The sequence below is a fragment of the Homo sapiens genome, chromosome 7 (assembly GCF_000001405.40).
Source record: "Homo sapiens chromosome 7, GRCh38.p14 Primary Assembly".
NCBI lineage: Eukaryota > Metazoa > Chordata > Mammalia > Primates > Hominidae > Homo > Homo sapiens.
The window spans coordinates 64,538,129-64,560,732 of NC_000007.14; the positions used below are offsets into that span (position 1 = coordinate 64,538,129).

Sequence of the window (22,604 nt, forward strand, 5' to 3'; positions counted from 1 at the left end):
ATTTGAAATAAAATATTTAGAAATTTAAAAAATAACAATCTCTTAGAAAAAATATAGGAAAAAAACATGACATTGGTATTGGCACCATTTTCTTAGATACAACATTAAATGCATGAGCAACAAAGAGAAGAACAGAATAACTGAACTACACAGTACTTCAAAATTTCTGCATATCAAAGAAAACATTCAAAAGAGTAATGATGCCTCCTAGGAAATGGGTGAAAATATTTGCAAATCACATGTGATAGGAGTTAATATTCAGAATATATAAACAACTATTAAAACTGAATTATAAAGTTGAATAACAACTTAGAAGTGGACAAATAATTGAACTAAATTTTCATCAAATTGATACAAATGCAAAAAAGCATTTGAAAGGATACACAAAATACTAATTTGTAGACAAATGCATGAAAATCACAATGAAAAACAGAATCCTCTTACACCCATTATAATAGCCACTATAAGTTTTCTAGAAAACATCAAATCAGTTGATGATGCAATGAAAATTTGCAACAAAAACACGTTAATTGTTGGTGCAAAACAAGGATGCAACCATTATTTACAAATGTTATAAATGTTCCTCAAATAATTAAAAATGGAATTATTAAATACAGCAATCCCACTTATGGATCTACATCCAAACTATGCAACGCAGGACCTGGAAGACATATTTGAACATTTATGTTTCTTGTACCAGCATCACAAAAGCCAAAACGCGGCCAGGCACAGTGGCTCACACCTGTAATCCCAGCACTTTGGAAGGCGGAGGCGGGTGGATCACCTGAGGTCAGCAGTTTGAGACCAGCTTTGCCAACATGGTGAAACCTTGTCTCTACTAAATATACAAAATTTAGCCAGGTGTGGTGGTGGGTGCCTGTAATCCCAGCTACTCAGGAGGCTGAGGCAGGAGAATCACTTGAACCTGGGAGGCGGAGACTGCAGTGAGCCAAGATTGTGCCATTGCACTCTAGCCTGGGAGGCAGAGCAAGACTCCATCTCAAAAAAAAAAAAAAAAAAAAGCCAAAATGCTGAAGCAATCCAGATGTTGATTTATAAATACATAAAAAAAGTAACATATGTATACAATGGAATATTATTCAGCCTTAAAAAAAAATCTTGGGAAGCTGAGGGAGGAGAATTGTTTGAACCTGGGAGGTAGAGGTGAGCCAAGATGGCACCACTGCGCTCCAGCCTGGGCAACAAGAGCAAAACTTCGTCTCAAAAAAAAAAAAAAAAAAAAAAAAGAAAAGAAAATCTTGTCCCATTTTATTATAAATGTTGAGAATTATGTCACCTAAAATGAGCCAGTAACAAAATGATGGGTACTGTATGATTCCACTTATGAGATATCTTAAGTAGTCACACTCATAAAAACAGAAAGTGGAAGCGTGTCTGTCAAGGGCTGAAGAGAGGGTAAAATGGGCAGTTGTTACTTAATGTGTACTGAGTTTTAGTTTTACAAGATGTAAAACTTTTAGAAGTATTTTGCCTAACAGTGTGAATACACTTAACATGCTCGAAATGTACAACTTTTATTCAGACAGGATCTCACTCTGTCACCCAAGCTGGAGTGCAGTGGCACAATTATGGCTTACTATAGCCTTAACCAGGCTGAAGTAAATCCTCCCCCATCAATCTCCCAAGTAGCTGAAACCACAAGTGCACACCACCATGCCTGTCTTTAAAAATAGTTTTTTTTGTAGACTGGGTCTTTATATGTTGCCCAAGCTGGTCTCCAAATTTTGGGCTCAAGTGATACTCCTGTCTTGGCCTCTCAAAATCCCTGGATTACAGATGTAAGCCACCACCATGCCTGGCCCTGAAATGTACACTTCAATGAATTTAAGATGGTAAATTTTATGTTATATTTTCACAATTAATTTTTTAAAAGAAAAACTGAAAAAATAAAGATTTATAAATCTTTTCAAAAATTATCTTCAAATCACAAACGTGTTTCTCTCATGCAAAAGAAATATATATTCATCATTAAACACATGGTGAAAAGAAGGCGATTTCCATGACTACTCATTTAGATATGATCGGACAACCATTGAAAATCAGCTAAGAAAGAATACCTACAAAATAAGCCATAACCAAAATGGAGGTCATATTTGTAGATAAAAGCACACACATATACAAACTGATTGTGATAGACATATGGCTGATTTATCCTTTTTTTTTTTTTTTTTTTGAGATGGAGGCTCGCTCTGTCGCCCAGGCTGGAGTACAGTAGTGCAATCTCAGCTCACTGTAACCTCTGCCTCCCAGGTTCAAGAGATTCCCCTGCCTCAGCCTCCCAAGTAGCTGGGACTACAGGCACCCGCTACCACACCAGGCTAATTTTTGTATTTTTAGTAGAGATGGGGCTTCACCATATTGGCCAGGCTGGTCTCGAACTCCTGACCTTCTGATCCACCTGCCTCGGGCTCCCAAAGTGCTGGGATTACAGGCATGAGCCACTGAGCCCGGCTGATTTATCTTTTAATTAAACCCCATGTTGACTTAAAGTTTACAAACAGAATTGCAAAATGTCTAAATATATAAGTAAAACAAAAAATCACAATAAACTGATGTTTAAAAAGTACACTAAATAAAACACTAATATGGAACTGCAAAACAATAACTAAAGAAGTTTACTCACAAAATCTGCTTTGCAATATTTATGTGCCATTAAAAAATTTGTCTAGATAATTACAATATTTGACTATGTGTACTCATGGAAAGCAGGTATTTCAAATCATTGGCATGCGCTGTGTTGCAATAAAATTTCAGGAAAAAAACAGTATAATTATAAATAAAAGATTCTAACAATAAATTTATAATAAACAAAAATTTACAAGAAATTAGTATTTATGTTTTAAATATATGCTATTCTTACACAAAATAAAACTACTGTAATCCAACTTTAGAAGCAAAACAATAGTCTTGCATTGCTAAATTTAAAAATTATATATTTTGCAGAATATGGTTAGCACTTCTTATATATAAAACAAATATTTAGAAATTAGTTATGTTGTTATTTAGATATATGCTTAAGTGGGTGAAAATCCTGTAATTCCTGTTTGCCTGAAGCAAACTTAAATTTATAAGTAACATCAACCATATCATGTAAATTCTAGCATATTGTCCTAAATGTCTGAACCTAAAGTACAGAAAAATTTGAAATAGAAAATAGAAAGTAAAAATGTATAGGGAGAGTGACATCAGTAAGATGGAAAAATAAAAGGTTCCTTATTTGCTTATCATCCCACAGCAAGAAAATTTATCAGCCATCCCTGTCAAAAATGCATTTATGTGAGCCATGGCTCACACCTGTAATGACAGCTACATGGTACATTCAGGTTGGGGAACTGCTTCAGGCCAGGATTTCAAGACCAACCTGGGTTATGAAGCCAAAACCCATCTCAAAAATAAGTGCCTTTAAGAGAGCTTTGAGATCCAGAGAGGGTGTTGTGAAACTGCTACAGTCTAAGATTAAGGAGTGTTCTTTTCAGAAGGCAGGCCCTCATTCAGGTGGAAAAATACAGGACCCCTGTTCTAGGCTGCAGACCAGGAAATGGCCCACCAAATTTGGTCCCACTGAGAATTCTGAACTTACTCTCTAATCATCCCAAACTCCTCCCAGCCACAGTCTGGGAGAGACCGTGCCCTTCCAGAGGCCTGGAGGAAGACAGCCATTTATAGCCACGCAGGCAGGCCTGCAGACCTTGTCCTTTACTGTGGTTTCTGAAGCAGTTCGATGACTCAGTTCCAGCTCCCTGAGCCACAGTTCACGGCCAGTTCTGCCTATAAAGGAACCCACACAGTGACCTGAAAAAATTCTCTTTGATACTCAGTGAAAGCCATACTCATCCACATTCTGATATAAGGCCCACCATATATAGACCCAATTACAAAAACCTGCCCTACTGTCTGCCCTACAGAGCAACATCCAGAAAAATATTTAGTCTGTTCCAAAATATAATGAAAATTACAATTACCCAAGCCCCTGTTAAGCCAACTAAAGGTGAGCCCTAGTGCAGACCCAGCAGCCTTGTGACCAAGCTACGCCCCTCTCCACTACAAACCCAGAGGACATCCCATCACCCTGAGAACCCAACAAAAAAAATCTTTACCTTCTAAACCAGTTTATAAAAACTTAAAGAGGTGTTTGCTCCTTTAAATTCAGACACCAATGCAAAACTATATTGTACCCACTGTAAATACTTTATTTTAACATAGAACTGCAAGTATGTGGCAGAAAAATTAGTCAAAAAAAGTTTTTAAACTCACTGAAATTGAAGACAAATGAGTAAAAACTTGCTGCTTATCGATCATATGCTCTTATATATAAAAAATTATAAACAGTACACTAAAACCTGTTTAAATTAATAAATACATTCAGTAAATTAGCAAAATATAAAATTAACATACAAGTTTAAGTTATGGTTCCATACACTTAAAGCAAACTGATTATTAAGAAAACAATCTTATTTACAGTAGCATTAAAATAATTTCTGAGAACAAATTTAAACAAGGAGGTAAAAAAATCTTTACAATAAAAATATATTAATGAAATAAATTAGAGAAGAGGCAAATAATTATTTTTTGAGACAGAGTCTCTGTCACACAGGCTGGAGTGCAGTGGTACAATCTCAGCTCACTGCAGCCTCCACCTCCTGTGTTAAAGCAATTCTCCTGCCTCAGCCTTTTGGGTAGCTGGGATTATAGGAACCTGCCACCATGCCAGGCTAATTTTTGTATTTTTAGTTGAGATGGGATTTCACCCTGATGGCCAGGCTGGTCTCAAACTCCTGACCTCAAGTGATCTCCCTGCCTTGGCCTCCCAAAGTGCTGGGATTACAAGTGTGAGCTACTGTGCCTGGCCAACGCAAATAAATTTTAAAGTATTTTATGTCTATGGATTGAAAGCATAAATATTGTTAAAGTGCCATATTATCCAAAATAATCTATGGATTCAATGAACTCCCTATCGAAATTCCAGTGGCATTTTTTTACAGCAATGAAAAATAAAATCCTAAAATTTATATGAAACTACAATAAACTTTGAATAGTCAAAGCAATCTGGAGGAAAAAGAACAAAGAAGGACATTATACTTTATAATTTCGAACTATATTTCGACTATCAAAAAAGACTATAATAATAAAAATATGAAATGTGCAGAAAAATGAACCAAAAAAATGGAAAAGAAACCACTAATCACACACATTTCAGACGTGATGTAGAAAGAGAACTTAAAAAATAACAGTTTCTCAAAATTTTGCAGATATTTGTGTGTCCCTAAAACAATGGAACATCAGTCAGATTGTGCAGTCTCTTATAAGCCATAAAGAGGACTTTGGCTTACAGTAAACTTGAAGGAAGATCACTGATGGGAAAGTAGAATTTTTAGAGAATTTAAGAGCATAAAGAAGATGCCCCTATGTGAGAGCAAGAGAAAAGAAACTGAGCTTCCCAAAAACTATTTTCTCTGGAACATAGCTTCCCAAATCCCATGTCAAGAACTGACTTTCTCTTTGACATCTGGACCTCTCATCTGTGTCATCTGTTGTATTCACTATCACTCTCACCTACCTGGGGGTTTGGCTACCATCTCCTGTCTCTTCCTATTCCAGGGCTCTTTTCCTTGCTCCAAACAGGTTATCAGGTGAGGCTTAGAGACAGCAATACCTGTTTTATTAAAAATAAATAACATGAATCTTGCTCATATTCTCCAATTACCAAACTACTAATGTGCTCAGTAAAGAGAATGTCATAGCATATTCTAGTAAATTAATCCCAAATTACTAATTTATAACAGACATTTCTAAATATTTAGAAAATACTTTAAATTTTTAGGTCTTTAATTTCACTACCCAGTACTACTGAATCAAAAATTGGTGGGGGCAATTAAATTTTAAGGTGTGGGCAACAACATTTTATGCCATCAAATTTCTGTAATTACCACTAATCTAGAGTGAAGGACATAGATCAGCTCAGGAATGTGGAAAGTTCAGGTCAAGATGAAACGTACTGAAGGAATTTTTTTCTACATGGACAAAGCTCAAAGATTTTCTTGAAAACAGGGATCTGAAACTCATTTATGCAAAGCACAAATTACCACAAGTTATGCAAAAAAAGAGAAATAAAACCTTTAGGGCATATTAGGAATTGTGTGTTGAAGTTATCCTCACCCAGGAAGACCAGGTTTCTGTAGTTCTCAAACATCACTTTCCTATATAAATTCCGTTGTGCAGTGTCCAGGCATTGCCACTCCTCCAGAGAGAATTCTATGGCCACATCCCTAAATGTCAGTGGTCCCTGAAAAACACACACACACACACACACACACACACACACTTATATATTTACTAAATGACCATGGGCAGAATTTTTATTTTGGCTCAAGGCAAAGTAAGACAGTATAGAAAACTGATTCTGACTTACAGGAGTGAGTCAAATTATACAATAAAATAAATTTCAATGCAGAAATATTCTCTAATATATTCTTTAACTCAGATAAGAGAACAGCATAAGATCCACAACATCAGTGTATATATACTTTTTTGAAGAAAAACTATAACAGGACATGAATACAAACATGTAAATTTTTGAGTGCTATATTTACATCATACACAATGAGTTGTGTATATTTTTCAGATAGAAAAGACATGTTGAATTAGAAGGTACATCTCAAATTTTAATGTGTACAATAAACTGAAGATCTTATTATGCGGATTGTTTTTAGAAAATCTGGAATAAAGTTTGAATTTCTGAATTTCTAACAAGCTCACCAGTAATGCCAATGTTTTTGGCCCAAGAAGAGTATTTTGTCAAACATCCACTAAGTAAAAGAGCCTGTGTTGGCCAGGCATGGTGGCTCACGCCTGTAATCCCAGCACTCTGGGAGGCCGAGGCAGGCGGATCACCTGAGGTCACGAGTTCGAAATCAGCCTGGCCAACATGGCGAAACCCCATCTCTACTAAAAAAAAAATACAAAAATTAGCCGGGCACAATGATGTGCGTCTGTAATTCCAGCTACTTGGGAGGCTGAGGCAGGAGAATCGCTTGAACCTGGGAGGTGGAGGTTGCAGTGAACTGAGACTGCGCCAGTGCATTCTAGCCTGGGCAACAGAGTGAGACTCCATCTCAAAAAAAAAAAAAAAAAAAAAAAAAAAAAGATCCTGTGTTTTCCCAGTTTTTCTGTAAATAAAGATGAGAGCCTTCATCTTCCAAAGACATATATGCAAATAAAACCTAAGGAAGAAAGGCAGCTGCCAAATCAAATGTGATAATTTATGCACATCAGCTGCATAAAGATACTTACTAATGAAAAGTAATTAACTATAAAAAAAACTTGTCAGACAGCTCTTTAGCCAAGTGAATCATTAACATCAACTGCACTAGGAACAAATTTTTATGATGTGCTGATGCACAAAGAACACAGCATCACTGCTGGAAGACTGCCCCCAAAAAGTAAATTATAATCTAAATTTAACCATAAAGAAACATCAATTTTATGCAAAGTTCAAAATACAGGTATCTCCTATTTACTGTACTATTAAATAGTGATTTTAAGTAGTCTTTCTTCAGCACCCTAGAAAGCAGGAATCTCCTAAAATTTTTTTCAGAACTTCATGGGTGATAAATGCCATTCTGTTTAAATAAGCATTTTCTTGATCCTTTTCTGTATAGAGCTAATAGAGAACACAGATGGATCCTCAACATTACATGTTCTTTTTCTTTACTAAGGACCCCAGCTTTTCCCCAGTAGAAATCTTGAGTATCCACACGTTCCCATAATTCAACAGCTACAAAGGAAATATTTTTAATATTGCAGATTCTAAATTCATAATGAGAATTCTGCATGGCACATAAGAAGCCATGATGCAGAGAATGTAAAGAAGGCTCTGGTACACAGGAAAAATATTTTTCTGAGACCCTTGACTATTATAATGAATTTTTAAAGTAATTGAAACTAGCTCATTAGGGAGGAAAAGATTGAGTAGAGAAGTAAAGGTTTGCAAGTACTAAACACATGGCATTCCAGGAGGAAGAGTGGACACAGCTCTTGATCTGAGACAGGTTTAAGTAAAAAAAAGAACCAATTCTTCCTGTTTCTCCTTTTTTGGAATTCCTTCTCAGATGAGATTCTCTGGACAAATTACACTTGTATCTTGAGAATATGCCTCTAAAGGTGTCAGCACCCCCTGTTTACCTGCTACCACCACACCCACAGGCAGAAAAACCAAAACCTGGAGAAAAAGTCCACCCACTTCTGTCCTTTATACAAGAAGAGATTCGGGAACAATGAGACGCTCCATGAAGATAAAAATACAAGTTTCTCGGCCAGGCACAGTGGCTCAGGCCAATAATCCTAGCATACCGGGAGGCCGAGGCAGGTGGATTGCCCGAGCTCAGGAATTCGAGACCAGCCTGGGCAACATGGTGAAACCCCATCTCTATTAAAATACAAAAAAATTAGCCAGGCATGGCAGCATGAGCCTGTAATCCCAGCTATTCAGGAGGCAGAGGCAGGAGAATTGCTAGAACCTGGAAGGCAGAGGTTGCAGTGAGCCGAGATAGCACCACTGCACTCCAGTTTGGGCGACAGAGTGAGACTCCATCTCTTAAATATATGTTTCTCTTTTCCTGTTCTCAGGTGCCCTCCCCAGGCACAGACACCAGCAATTTCTGCTACAATAATGGCAATATGGGCCACACTGACCTGTCTCTACCAAACCCGAACAGAACAGGCCCTGTGACCAACCTTCAATGCAAAGGTGGAACTTAACTCTCATGAATGTATCCTGAACCCCTCATACTTGACTCTGTCCTCATTTTGAGTCACATGAGGCCCTTACTTAAAACAATACGGATGCTTCCACCAAGAACAATTAACAGAACCTGTGGAAAAGACACAAGTAAGATTTTTTAAATTGGCCATGTAATCCTAATTAGAAGACTGGGCTGATAACCACTTAGCTAAGCATTGTCTCTCAAGCTTTAATGAGCTTATAAATCACTTGATAATTTTGGTCTCACTCTATGTAATGTGATTCTGCAGGTTTGGAAAGGGTCCATGAATGGGTGTTTTAAACAAATCCTCTGTCAATGCTGATGTTGCTCTTCCTGGGCTCATTATTAGCATTAGTTGGAGAAAGCAGGCACAGCACAGACTCCCTTAAACTCAGCACTCTTGTCACAACACAAATAAAGACAACCAATCTCCATCCTCAAGTATCATATTCTTTGCTGGTCCTTTAAAGTCTACAGAGGAAACAAAAGGGAGCAATGTTTGAATGAGTCTGCATTTGGAAAACAACATGTACACATGTACTAGCGTAACGTTTATTAAGCAGGTACTATGTCCTCAAGTGTTACACAGCATTGTGCTGGGAAAAATACATTATTTGATTTAATCCTCATAACACCCTGGGAGTTGGTATGAGGTGTTCAATAAATCTCAGGATAAAGAGCCCAGGATTTTTATTTCTTCTGTTTCTCTGTCATTGATTTTTTCTTGAAGATGTATAAAATAAAAGCTAAATATAGACAGATGAGAGGGATACAGAAAAGCTTAATGTAATTTAGAAAAAATTTTTATTGTGTTTATATTTACTTTTTTGTGGCTTATGGAGCAACTACTAAATCTGCAGTAATAGAAAACAAGTTGCTACATGGAACATTTCAGCAAGTACTGGTTTTTATAAAAATAAAAAATTAAGGCCCTAAAATAAATATTTTTCCCATTAATCTGCTTCTGAGTTTCAAAGAATTATGGGCACCAGTTCTAAAAAGGCTGCAGGACTCACCAGCCAAAACTAATTTCTTCTAATCAGTTTGGTGAGGCAAGACTCCACAGTGGGGTCAGACCTAAGTAAGGCCTCCAAAAAGAGTGAATCTTAGCAGAACTGGGGCAGGGAGTGGACCCTATGTAGAATTCTGCTCTCTATGCCACTGAGGTATTTCCAGTTCTGATTTTTCTAAGCTTACCTAAGAGAAACTTACATTACAGAGTTTGTGTTAACTAATTTCTTTTAGCCACTGCCATGTCAATTTTATAATGTATACTAATAAATAATTTAAACAAATTCCTTAAGGTTTTCTAGGGTAATTTATTAGGACATAAATATGTATTAATAGGAAAGTAAAAAAGAATACAAACAATAACAACTCTTCTGTTCATAAATATCCTTTCAGGTGATGACATCAGAAGTCACAACAATGTAAAGAAAGTGGCCAAAGGCCAAGTTTTTTTCTTTTCCACACATCTATACATTGTACCAACCATATACTGCTTCAACCATTTATCCAGTTACTAGTCTAGACTTAAAGATCCTGCATGGTAGGAACCCTGACTGCTTCAACTATTTTCTAATGGCCACATAAAATGGAAGCAATTAGTTTATCTATTTGAGTCTCCAGACCCTTTCCTTTTTTTTCACCCAAGCACCAGGAAACTTAAGAAACTCTCATCTGGGTACCAACCAAGACATCTCTTGTATGAGGGGAGGAACAAATGCAGACTGACTCATTTGTCTTACACTGAGACAGAAGCATAATTAACCACTCTTGTCAGCCTGACACAGTTCTGCTCTGGACAACCTTAAATGTCTCAAAGATGCCTAGGTGATTGTGAGAGGGTTCCCAATGACCCTGGGCTGATGACCCGATGATGTGCCAAGCAGGAGAGACTCAGGGTGATCCTATATAAAAAATGAAACTGGCCGGGCGCGGTGGCTCATGCTTGTAATCCAAGCGCTTTGGGAGGCCGAGGTGGGCGGATCACGAGGTCAGGAGTTTGAGACCAGCCTGGCCAACATGGTGAAACCCCGTCTCTACTAAAAATACAAAAATTAGCCTGCGTGGTGGCATGTGCCTGTAATCCCAGCTACTCAGGAGGCTGAGGCAGGAGAATCGCTTGAACCCGGGAGGCAGAGGTTGCAGTGAGCTGAAATCACGCCATTGCACTCCAGCCTGGGCAATAGGGTGAGACTCCGCCTCAAAAAAAGAAAAAAAAAAAAAAAACAATGAAACTGCCCTGGTGGAGCTCCAGAATTTGGATCACCTGTCCTGATGAGCTAGCTCTTGGGTAAGAGGAAGGACAAGAATACTCCAGTACCACATTTTACAGGTAGATACAGCTGTGGTCATGGCTTTGGATACTCTGTGGCCTTGCTCTCTCACTCCTAAGATGCTTGTTTACACTTAGGGATTCTCCCATGAGATTCTATGTATACCTGGTGCCTCTCACATAACTGTAGCAGGTCACTGAACAAGATCTGAAAAGCTCAAGAAGCCATACTCTCAAAAGGGAACTTTAAGATGTCTATGTTGACATCTCACAATGCAGAACATGCCTCCTGTTGGTTTTCTGTACATTCTCAATCCTAAGTCTGGCCCTGTATTGTAAATCCCAGGCAGAGGCCAAACCTTATGTGCAGATTCTAGGTGGCATCAACCTAGCTCTGCATTCTTGGGTGTTACAGCAAATGAGGTACAACCAAAGGAGAGATCCCCTTATAGAGGATGCTCTAGCACATTCTAAATGATATGTCTACCTAAAAAAAAAAAAAACTGAGACACTGGACGCAGTGGCTCACACCTGTAATCCCAGCACTTTGGGAGGCCGAGGCAGGTAGATCACCTGAGGTCAGGAGTTTGAGACCAGCCTGGCCAACATAGTGAAACCCCATGTCTACTTACAGTGCAAAAAAATCAGCTGGGCGTGGTGGCACGTGCCTGTAATCCCAGATACTTGTGAGGCTAAGGCAGGAGAATCAGTTGAGCCCAGGAGGCAGAGGCTGCAGTGAGCAGAGATCGCACCATTGCACTCCAGCCTGGGCGACAAGAACAAGACTCCCTCTCAAAAAAAACAAAAACAAAAAACTGAGGCAACATGAATATAAGTAGACAGTTTATTTGGGTCAAGCTTGAGGATTGTTAACTTGAGAGCAAAGATTCAAATTGTCAAAAATCTACACTTTGCTTAGCAGCAGTTACAAGTGGATTTGTAAAGGCAAAAATAGAGGGACAGAGAGTGGACTGATACAAAGTTGTTAGAAATTCTTATTTATTTACAAAAATAAAATCGATTACTAATTGGCTATACATTGTTAAGCTATAGGGTGTGGGTTATAGTGTCCAGTGTGGAATTATTAGTTTAATTTATAGCTACTTATGGCTATAGTAAGCAGTTTTAAGAGATAAATCAATAGCTAAAAGAAGGAAGAAAGACATAACTGTGGTCTCATTTTAATGTCTCTTTGAGTCTTATAACTAAATGAACATGCATTTCTCAGATAAAATGTTTTATTTTTTCCCAAAATCTCAAGATCCCGATTCAGAATCTGGAGCTGCAGATTTAGGTCCTGAATAAATGGAGTAGTAGCAGGTGTCACCTGCAGATTTATGGACATTTTAGCAACACGAGGAAAGAGAAAGCAGAGATTCTCATTTCTACTCAATGCACACGTTACTCTAAGTTTGTGAGCCTCATGGTCTCTGAATCAGTTTCAGGTCTGAAAATACAAGAATCATTGCAAGAGGTAAAATGGTTGATTGCTGCCCTGTGAAATTTGGTCTAACCTCTTTAAAAGTGACTATAGAGGACTACAGATTATCAAACAAGCAGAGAAACAATTCTGCCTGCGTATTTAGGGGAGAGTATGCATTCTGCAGCACAATTGTGAGCTGACTGGAAGCCTAAGAGGGAAAGGCCCCTCTAGAGTAAAGCTTGGTTGGCGCCTTATATGTTTATGTCATGTCTGGTAATTCTAGACAGTTCTTGGGAAATATAATTAAAAGACAAATTTTCTCCAGCCCTAGAGCAACTCCACAATGACTGAACAGAAATAAAACTGTTATATTACACAATTAAACCAGAATTTGACATGCATCAAGGTCAATCTGCTTAACAGATTGCAAAGACAGAAAGATGGTCACCATAATTAGCCCATGAGTAGAAAAACTTACAGCACCATGTCATGCATAGTTCACTCTAAATTCACCTGGTAATTGGGGAGGCCATCCGTGTATGTTAATTTGTTATATATAATTACAAAATAAACTTTTAAGATCTTCATGACAGAGGGTAGTTGTGCAATATAAAACCAGGTGCCTGCTAAAGGTAGGCTCTCAGTCTCCTACAGAAACATTTGAATAGTGTGCTATCATTTTGGCTATTTACATTTTGAAGCAATGGCTCTCTACTCCCCAAGCGTTGGACTACAGCACTTCTGCTTGCCCTCTCCTGGTGGCTGGAGTTTTCTCTTGACTCCTACCTCCTGCCACTGAGGTACAGCCCACAATACAGGGTGAACAGCCAGGAGGTCACATCTCACATGAACCCCAATTGCCACAGCAGCACTCCAGCGCCACATCAGAGAGTGAAGCCTGAGCTGCAGGAGGAGAGCCTGCAGGCCTCCTGGGTAGGAATGCACCTTCACAATAATGAGAACGGGAACAGTTTTAGGCTCAGTTTCTATTTATAATGGTGACATGGAAAACATTCTGCTGGATTTCCAGCATGAGTCTGTAAAGAGACAGCTCCAAGAGTTCCATTGTGACAGCCCACCTCATTCACAGACACTGTGAAATGCTAAAATGGCTTCTGAAACAGACACTCAAAGCATTGGAGAGAAAAACAGCTCTCAGTCTCAGAAAGATTATACCGAGAGAAAAAATAAGTTAAATGTATCTTGAGAAAAAACTCAGATTACATGTAAGATTGATGAAGTCAGCCAGAAAATATTTCCCTATAAAATATTTCTCTCTAAATACCCAAATTACACAGCTACTCTCAGCATGAGAAACATGAGCATTACGAAAAAGGGAGCATATTCTCAGCAGAATTTTATAAGATTCCTCCATCTCTGCTGCTCTCTCATCTTTTAGCCATTGAAAGGGGGATTCTATTGGAATACATCACACTACATCCACCAGCACTTTTTTTCTGAAATGGAGTCTCGTTCTGTCACTCAGGTTAGAGTGCAGTGGCATGATCTCAGCTCACTGCACCCTCCGCCTCCCAGGTTAAAGCAATTCTCCTGCCTCAGCCTCCAGAGTAGATGGAATTACAGGCACCTGCCACCATATCCAGCTAATTTTTGTATTTTTAGTAGAGACAGGTTTCACTGTGTTGGCCATTCTGGTCTCCAACTCCTGACCTCAAGTGATCCACCCGCGTTGGCCTCCCTAAGTGCTGTGATTACAGGCGTGAGCCACTGTGCTCGGTCACCACCAGCACTTTTTGATGAAAAATTAGAATCTGATTTTGTTTATATGGTGGAACATATTTGAGCTTGCAACACAGCTAAGAGGAGAGCTATTATAGTTTTCTGGTGGTCACATCATTTGTGTTTATTTGTCCTTTAATAGCAGCATTCTAACTTACTGAAATGAAAGACACTAAACTCATGCTTACTTATAGTTATCCCTACCAGATAAGGTAATAAGTATGTAAGACTAGTATCTACTGTAACAATTTGGTAATAAGTTTTATTTGGATATTAGAGATAAGTATCTAAATATAAATAATTTTAATGTACTCGTCATAATGTATGTAGGATTTGTGAAAATTTTCTTTAACCATAATTCAGTTAAAACACTTTATATTTAAAAAGTAGAAATAACAATATTAAAATGACTAACGGTTTCATTCAAAGTAAATGTCGTGGCCTTATATTTATATTATTGTAGAAAATACTCTTTAATTTATATGAATGTTGACCAGGCACGGTGGCTCACGCCAGTAATCCCAGCACTTTGGGAGGTCAAGATGGGCAGATCACCTGAGGTCAGGAGTTCAAGACCAGCCTGGCCAACATGGCAAAATCCTGTCTCTACTAAAAATACAAAAACTAGCCAGGCGTGGTAGCACATGCCTGTAGTCCCAGCTACTCAGGAGGATGAGGCAGGAGAATTGCTTGAACCTGGGAAATGGAGTTGCAGTGAGCTGAGACTGCGCCACTGCACTCCAGCCTGGGGGACAAAGTAACACTCTATCTCAAAAAAAAAAAAAAAAAAGTATATGATTGTAGGTTGTCTACAAATGCTTCCTGTGACAATGCTAATTGTTCTGAAGTAATAAATAGAAACCAAGGTTCAACTCCAACTCCACTGTTATATACTGAATCGTTTATTTAGCTACACCTAGATTAATATGATTTATATGATTTACATATATTTCAATAAAGCAGAGAAAAAAAGTACACATAATCCAAATGCTTTAAGAAAAGAGAGATGAGGATAATAGCCTTAATAGCCTTCCTTATTTTCAGGTAGGAGAATAGAGCCTCTTATTTTTATTTTCTCCTATAACAGCCAAGTCTTTAGACATGCTCTTGAAGTCTTGGACATCTGAATTTCAGTAGACACTGGATTCAGGCATCCAAGGAGTGGCCTTGGGCACACTGTGTGCACTTGAAAGAATGTTTACAGAGAGAAAAAGCAGAATACAGAAAGGTGTTATAAAAAAAAATCTGTGCCCTCTCCCTCTCCTGTCTCCCTCTGATGCCAAGCCGAGGCTGGACTGTACTGCCGCCATCTCGGCTCACTGCAACCTCCCTGCCTGATTCTCCTGCCTCAGCCTGCCAAGTGCCTGGGATTGCAGGCGCGCGCCGCCACGCCAGACTGGTTTTCGCATTTTTTGGTGGAGACGGGGTTTCGCTGTGTTGGCCGGGCTGGTCTCCAGCTCCTGACCTCAAGTGATCTGCCCGCCACGGCCTCCCGAGGTGCCGGGATTGCAGACGGAGTCTCGCTCACTCAGTGCTCAATGTTGCCCAGGCTGGAGTGCAGTGGCGTGATCTCGGCTCGCTACAACCTCCACCTCCCAGCCGCCTGCCTTGGCCTCCCAAAGTGCCGAGATTGCAGCCTCTGCCCGGCCGCCACCCCGTCTAGGAAGTGAGGAGCGTCTCTGCCTGGCCGCCCATCCTCTGGGATGTGAGGAGCCCCTCTGCCCGGCCGCCCAGTCTGGGAAGTGAGGAGCGCCTCTTCCCGGCCGTCATCCCGTCTAGGAAGTGAGGAGCGTCTCTGCCCGGCCGCCCATCGTCTGGGATGTGGGGAGCGCCTCTGCCCCGCCGCCCCGTCTGAGATGTGAAGAGCGCCTCTGCCCGGCCGCGACCCCGTCTGGGAACTGAGGAGTGTCTCTGCCCTGCCGCCAACCCGTCTGGGAAGTGAGGAGCGTCTCTGACCGGCCACCCAGTCTGGGAAGTGAGGAGCTCCTCCGCCTGGCAGCCGCCCCGTCCGGGAGGTGGGGGGCAGCCCCAGCCCGGCCAGCTGCCCCGTCCAGGAGGTGGGGGGCAGCCCCCACCCGGCCGCTGCCCCGTCTGGGAGGTGGGGGGGCGCCTCTGACCGGCTGCCCCGTCTGGGAGGTGTACCCAACAGCTCATTGAGAACGGGCCATGATGACAATGGCGGTTTTTGTCGAATAGAAAAGGGGGAAATGTGGGGAAAAGAAAGAGAGATCGGATTGTTTCTGTGTGTGGAAAGAAGTGGACATGGGAGACTCCATTTTGTTCTGTACTGGCAAAGATTCTTCTGCCTTGGGATGCTGTTAATCTATAACCTTGCCCCCAACCCCGTGCTCTCTGAAACATGTGCTGTGTCCACTAAGGGTTAAATGGATTAAGGGCGGTGCAAGATGTGCTTTGTTAAACAGATGCTTGAAGGCGGCATACTCGTTAAGAGTCATCACCACTCCCTAATCTCAAGTACCCAGGGACACAAACACTGCGGAAGGCAGCGGGGCCCTCTGCCTAGGAAAACCAGAGACCTTTGTTCACATGTTTATCTGCTGACCTTCCCTCCACTATTGTCCTATGACCCTGCCAAATCCCCCTCTCCGAGAAACACCCAAGAATGATCAATAAATACTAAAAAAATTAAAAAAAAAATCTGTGGATGTACATGAATAAAGCAAGTTCTTAGAGACCTATGAAGAGACTTAGATTCTGACACAATAATAGTGGGATACAACACCCCACAGACCCTGTTAGATTATTAGGGCAGAAAATTTACAAATAACTCAGGATCTAAACTCAACACTTGGACAAACAGTCCTACAAAACTCTTAATCTAAAAACAACATACTATACATTCTTCTCATTACCATGTGGCACATACTCCAAAATTGACCACACAATCAGAAATAAAACAACCCTCAGCAAATTCCAAAATTACACCAACCACACACACAGAGCACAGCTTGATAAAAATATAATTCAATACCAAAAAAAAAAACACTTGAAGTGATACAAATACATGGAAATTATGCCACCTGAGTCTAAATGACTTTTGAGTAAATAATGAAATTAAAGCAGAAATCAAGTTCATTGCAAAAAATGAGAACAAAGATACAACATACCAGAATCTCTGCAACACAGCTAAGGCAGTGTTAAAGAGAAATTTATAGCACTAAAAGCTCACATCCAAAAGTTACAAAGATCTCAATTTAACAACCTAACATCATGAATAAAAGAATGAGAGAAAGCAAGAGCAAACCAACCCCTAAGCTAGGAAAAGACAAGAAATAACCAAAATCAGATCTGAACTGAAGATTTAAACAGAAAAAAAATACGAGACCAAAAAATCCAGGAATTAAACCTTTGTAAAAAAAAATATATATATATATATAAAATAAGATAAACCACTAGCTACAATAATAAAGAAATAAGAGAAGGTCCAAATAAACACAATTAGAAATGACTACCACTGACCCCACAGAAATACAAATAACTATTGAAGTCTACTATGAACACTTCTATGCACATGAACTAGAAAATCTATGCACACAAACTAGAAAATAGAAGTTTCAGGATACAAAATAAGTGTACAAAAATCAGTAACATCTCTGAACATCAACAACATTCAACCTAAGGCCAAATCAAAAAAAATCCCATTCACAATAACCACAAAAATAATAAAATGTCTAGGAATACACCTAATCAGGGAGGTGAAAAATCTCTAAAACAAAAATTACAAAATGCTTCTTAAAGAAGTCAGAGATGACACAAGCCAATGGGCAGCCATTTTATGCTCATGGATAGAAAAGACTGATATCATTAAAATGGCCATACTGCCAAATGAAATTTACAGAATTAATGCTATTTCTATCAAACTACCAATAACATTCTTCACGGAACTAAAAAAAAAAAAAAAAAAAAGTATTTTAAAATTTATATGAAACCGAAAAAAAACCAAAAACCTGAATAGCCAAGGCAATCACAAGCAAAAAGAACAAAGCAGGTGGCATTACATTACCTGACTTCAAATTATACAACAGAGTAACCAAAGCAGCATGATACTGGTACAAACACAGACTACAGAACAATGGAACAGAATAAGAGAGCCCAGAAATCATGCCACACACCTACAACCATCTGATCTTCCACAAAGGTCACAAGAGCAATGCAGGAAGAATTCCCTATTTAATAAATGGTGCTGGAATAACCAGCTAGCACTATGTAAAAGACTGAAACTGGATGCTTTCCTTACACCATATAAAAAAAAAATCAACTCCAGGTGATTAAAGACCTAAATGTAGAACATACAATTGTAAAAAACCCTGAAAGAAAATCTAAAAAATACCTATGTCAATTGGATAAAGAAAATATTATTGACATAGGAACTGGCAAAGATTTTATGATGAAGATGCCAAAAGCAATTGCAACAAAAGCAAAACTTGATAAATGGGACCTAAAGAAACTAAAGAGCTTCTTCACAGCAAAGCAAACTATCAATAGAGTAAACAAACAACCTACACAATAAAAAGAAAATATTTGTAAAATATGCTTCTGACAAAGGTCTATTATTCAAAATTTGTAAGGAATTTTAAAAATTTTACCATAAGGCGGGACGGGTACAGTGGCTCACGCCTGTAATCCGAGCACTTTGGGAGGCCAAGGCGGGCGGATCACGAGGCCAGGAGATTGAGACCATCCTGGCAAACATGGTAAAACCCCGTCTCTACTAAAAATACAAAAAAATTAGCCAGGCGTAGTGGCAGTCACCTGTAGTCCCAGCTACTCCGGAGGCTGAGGCAGGAGAATGGCATGAACCTGGGAGGTAGAGCTTGCAGTGAGCCAAGATCGCGCCACTGCACTCCAGACTGGGCGACAGAGCGAGACACTGTCTCAAAAAAAAAAAAAATTTACCATAAGGCCAGGCGCAGTGGTTCATACATGTAATCTCAGCACTTTGGGAGGCTGAGGCAGGCAGATCACAAGGTCAGGAATTCGAGACCAGCCTGACCAACATGGTGAAACCCCGTCTCTACTAAAAATACAAAAAGTAGCCACGTGTGTTGGCACGCACCTGTAATCCCAGCTACTCAGGAGGCTGAGGCTGGAGAATCGCTTGAATCCGGGAGGCAGAGGTTGCAGTGAGCCAAGATCGTGCCACTGCACTCCAGCCTGGGTGACAGAGCAAGGGTCCGTCTCAAAAAAACAAAAAAACAAAAAAAAACAAAACAAAAAAAAACTTACCAAAAAGGCCGGGTGCAATGGCTCATGCCTGCAATCCCAGCACTTTGGGAGGCTGAGGCAGGCAGATCACTTGAGGTCAGGAGTTTGAGACCAGCCTGGCCAATGTGGTGAAACCCCTGTCTCTACTAAGAATACAAAAATTAGCCGGCTGTGGTTGCATGCACCTGTAGTTCCAGTTACTCAGAAGGCTGAGGCAGAATTGCTTGAACCCCGGAGGCGGAGGACAAAGAGAGGAAAAACAGACACAGGCCTAGTTGAGGGTGGTGGGTAGGAGGACAGAAAGGACTAGAAAAAAATACCTGTTTATGCTATGCATAGTACCTCATTAACAAAATAATCTACACCAAACCCCTATGCCACAATTTTGCTTATATAACAACTCGCACGTTTACCCCCAACCCTGAAACAAAAATAAAAGTTAAAAGGAATAAAATCCACAGGTGGAGGATAGTGCAATGTAGGTGGAAGGACTTGTTTGCCCTACAGATAGTGGCCCAGGTGGGGCTGTACTTGTTTATTTCTGTGTCCGGGCAGGCAGATGAGATTATGAACAGGTGGTACAGAACCGTTGGTTGGTGGAGGAAAAAGGTTGCTGCTGCAGATTCAGTGTCTGGGGGTGGGGATATGCAGGAGACTATAAACACTTTTGTGGATTTTTGGCAAAAAAAAACACTAGGATCAAAAATGCTGTGGTGAAATTCCTGATGGTGGTGCCTAGTCCTGGGAGGAGTGTGGACACATCAATTTATGGGTATGTTTGTGAGTGGGTGGGAATCCTGGGGTGGCAGCTGTGGGAAAAGGGGGTCTGTTATCAGAGCTAATTTCCTGTAAGTTTTCAGTCCTCTCTCACCCTGGGAGGAGATTATTAAAGACCCAGCTCTTTCTAGGGAGCCTCCCCTGCAGATGTCTCAGGCTGCTCACCCCAGCCATGGAAGAAGCCTTTATACTGAGAAAAGCTACAGGGCCCTGGAAATCTGGGGACCCACAGGCAGATGTAGTTAAGGTTAAGACGGAAGGGGATTGGGAGGGTCTTACTGAAGATGAAGTTGTTACTGTTTTGAGGCAGTTTCTAGACTTTGTAAAATAAAACACAGATTTATGTAATAAAAATTTGAATTCCAAAGGAGGAAGCACCAACTATAAATCTTTAAAGATTGCAAAGTTTAGGCAGAAAAGGGGTTGCTTTTTTTTTTTTTCAATCAATTTTGAGATTTATTTTGTTAATGTTGAGGACACACCGGGGAGAAAGAAACACAAGTCGCAATAGGATCTGTGTCCTGTGTTTTTTCCAAAGAATGTTTTGGGAACTTCAGTATTTAAAGAGGAAAGAGCAAGTGGGAGGGGAAGAAAAAAGGCCGGGTGGGGGAAACAAGAGGGAGTGTAGGTGATGAGGCTATTGGCTACATTCCCATGAGGCTCTGATTAGCACTCAGTGAATCTATATTTTACATGTAGAAAGAAAGGGGTCGGAGAAGTCAATCATGCATTCCCCCTTCTCTCTCTCCCTCAGTAACTCTACATTTTATACAAGATAAAGTAAGCATGTGAAATTACAGCTGTTTGGGAATAAAAGGAAGCCAATCTTTGCATGACCCAGTTCCCAGCTTTACTTTTGGCATAGTGAGTTCAGGGTCCCAAGAGTTTATTTTCCTTCCACATATATCTGCAATTTTTGATATTACCGAAGTCAAGGGCAAAGTTTTCATTAGGAAGTTGGCAACTTCTAGGAAAGGCTTTATTCATTTGGGGGGCTGTAAGGTACATGGATATGCTTTGGTCAGAAACAGGCCGAGGCAGACAGCCGGGCCAGAGTGACTCAGCAAGTCTGGAGCACAGGCGTATAAATCCACTTTTTGTTTTATTTGTTTGTTTAGGTTTTTTTTTTTTGCTGTTGTTTTTGAGACAGAGTCTCGCCCTGTCACCCAGGCTGGAGTGCAGTGGTGTGATCTCAGCTCACTGCAACCTCTACCTCCTGGGTTCAAGCAATTCTCCTGCCTCAGCCTCCTGAGTAGCTGGGATTACAGGTGCCCACTACCACATGTGGCTAATTTTTTATATTTCTGGTAGAGACGGGGTTTCACCATGTTGTCCAGGCTGGTCTCAAACTCCTCACCTCAAGTGATCCACCCACCTTGGCCTCCCAAAGTGCTGGGATTACAGGCTTGAGCCACTGTGCCTGGCCAGGGAGGACTTTTTTGAAGATGCATAACATTTTACATCTCAATAAGAAAAGCAAAAGTATTCCTTTTAGATAATAAATGTATTATTTTATTATTTCCATTAAAAATTATGTAGTAAACAATTATTCATTTGGAAACACTTCTAGGAGGTACCAAGTTTCATCTCATAAAATTTAGCATAAAACTCAGAAATCAAGATAACAGGGTATAGACTAGAAATATTCACTGTCACAAATTTACCATGCAAAAAGAGGTACTAATGTTTTCAAGAATCTATGTAACTTCACCAATTACCTACCACATTTTCTGGTGGAAATGTATTCATTTTCTTTTCTGTTTTTTTTTTTTTTTTGAGATGAAGTTTCACTCTTTCGCCCAGGCTGGAATGAAGTGGCACAATCTTGGCTCACTGCAACCTCCACCCCCCGGGTTCAAGCAATTTTCCTGCTTCAGCCTCCCAAGTAGCTGGAATTACAGGCATGTACCACCACGCCCGGCTAATTTTTGTATTTTTAGTAGCGACAAGGCTTCACCATGTTGGCCAGGCTGGCCTCGAATTCCTGACCTCAGGTGATCCACCCCTCTTGGCATCCTAAAGTGCTAGGATTACAGGCGTGTGCCACTGCACTCGGCCGGAAATGTATTCATTTTCTAAAGCCAAAATGGAGAAGAGATTTTCTCTATTTTTTCCCTAGATAGCTAGCATTCTAAAAGTTAAGGCTTGGAATTCTGTTTGAAATTACCCAGCTAGGCTGGGTGCGGTGTCTCATGCCTGTAATCCCAATACTTTGGGAGGCCAAGGCGGGTGGATCACCTGAGATCAAGAGTTTGAGACCAGACTGGCCAACATGGTGAAACCTCATCCCTACTAAAAATACAAAAATTAGCTGAGTGTGGTGGCTAGCGCCTGTAGTCTCAGCTACTCAGGAGGCTGAGGGAGGAGAATCGCTTGA

General features: G+C 40.1%; 1 protein-coding gene and 1 pseudogene across 9 annotated transcripts in view, besides 2 other annotated features; one reads left to right on the forward strand and one right to left on the reverse strand.

Annotated features, from left to right (window-relative positions):
• Positions 1-22,604, reverse strand: part of ZNF680 (zinc finger protein 680) — a 64,003-nt gene that overhangs the window by 39,060 nt on the left and 2,339 nt on the right. For 7 of the 9 annotated variants that reach the window (XR_428175.5, XR_001744687.2, XR_007060018.1 and 4 more), the window contains exons 2-3: positions 6,178-6,304; positions 5,579-5,674 (exon numbers count right to left, since the gene is read on the reverse strand). Coding sequence is in view for 6 of the 9 variants with exons in the window: in NM_178558.5 (NP_848653.2) it covers positions 5,579-5,674; positions 6,178-6,304 (223 nt within the window). In the remaining 3 variants the exon portion in view is untranslated. Of the gene's footprint in view, positions 1-5,578; positions 5,675-5,948; positions 6,080-6,177; positions 6,305-22,604 lie in introns of all 9 variants that reach the window. The other 2 variants (XM_047420310.1, XM_047420311.1) reach the window with 2 other exon arrangements.
• On the forward strand, positions 13,370-13,938 carry BNIP3P42 (BCL2 interacting protein 3 pseudogene 42; annotated as a pseudogene).
• Positions 15,999-16,504: an enhancer, noted in NCBI's record as "H3K27ac hESC enhancer chr7:64014505-64015010 (GRCh37/hg19 assembly coordinates)". NCBI's record gives its function as "activates a minimal SCP1, AML or CMV promoter by ChIP-STARR-seq in naive H9 embryonic stem cells {active_cell/tissue: H9 hESC(naive)}" and the evidence as "EXISTENCE:reporter gene assay evidence [ECO:0000049][PMID:30033119]".
• Positions 21,063-21,357: an enhancer, noted in NCBI's record as "tiled region #12132; HepG2 Activating non-DNase unmatched - State 6:EnhF, and K562 Activating DNase matched - State 5:Enh". NCBI's record gives its function as "activates a minimal TATA promoter and a strong SV40 promoter by Sharpr-MPRA in HepG2 and K562 cells {active_cell/tissue: HepG2 | K562}" and the evidence as "EXISTENCE:reporter gene assay evidence [ECO:0000049][PMID:27701403]".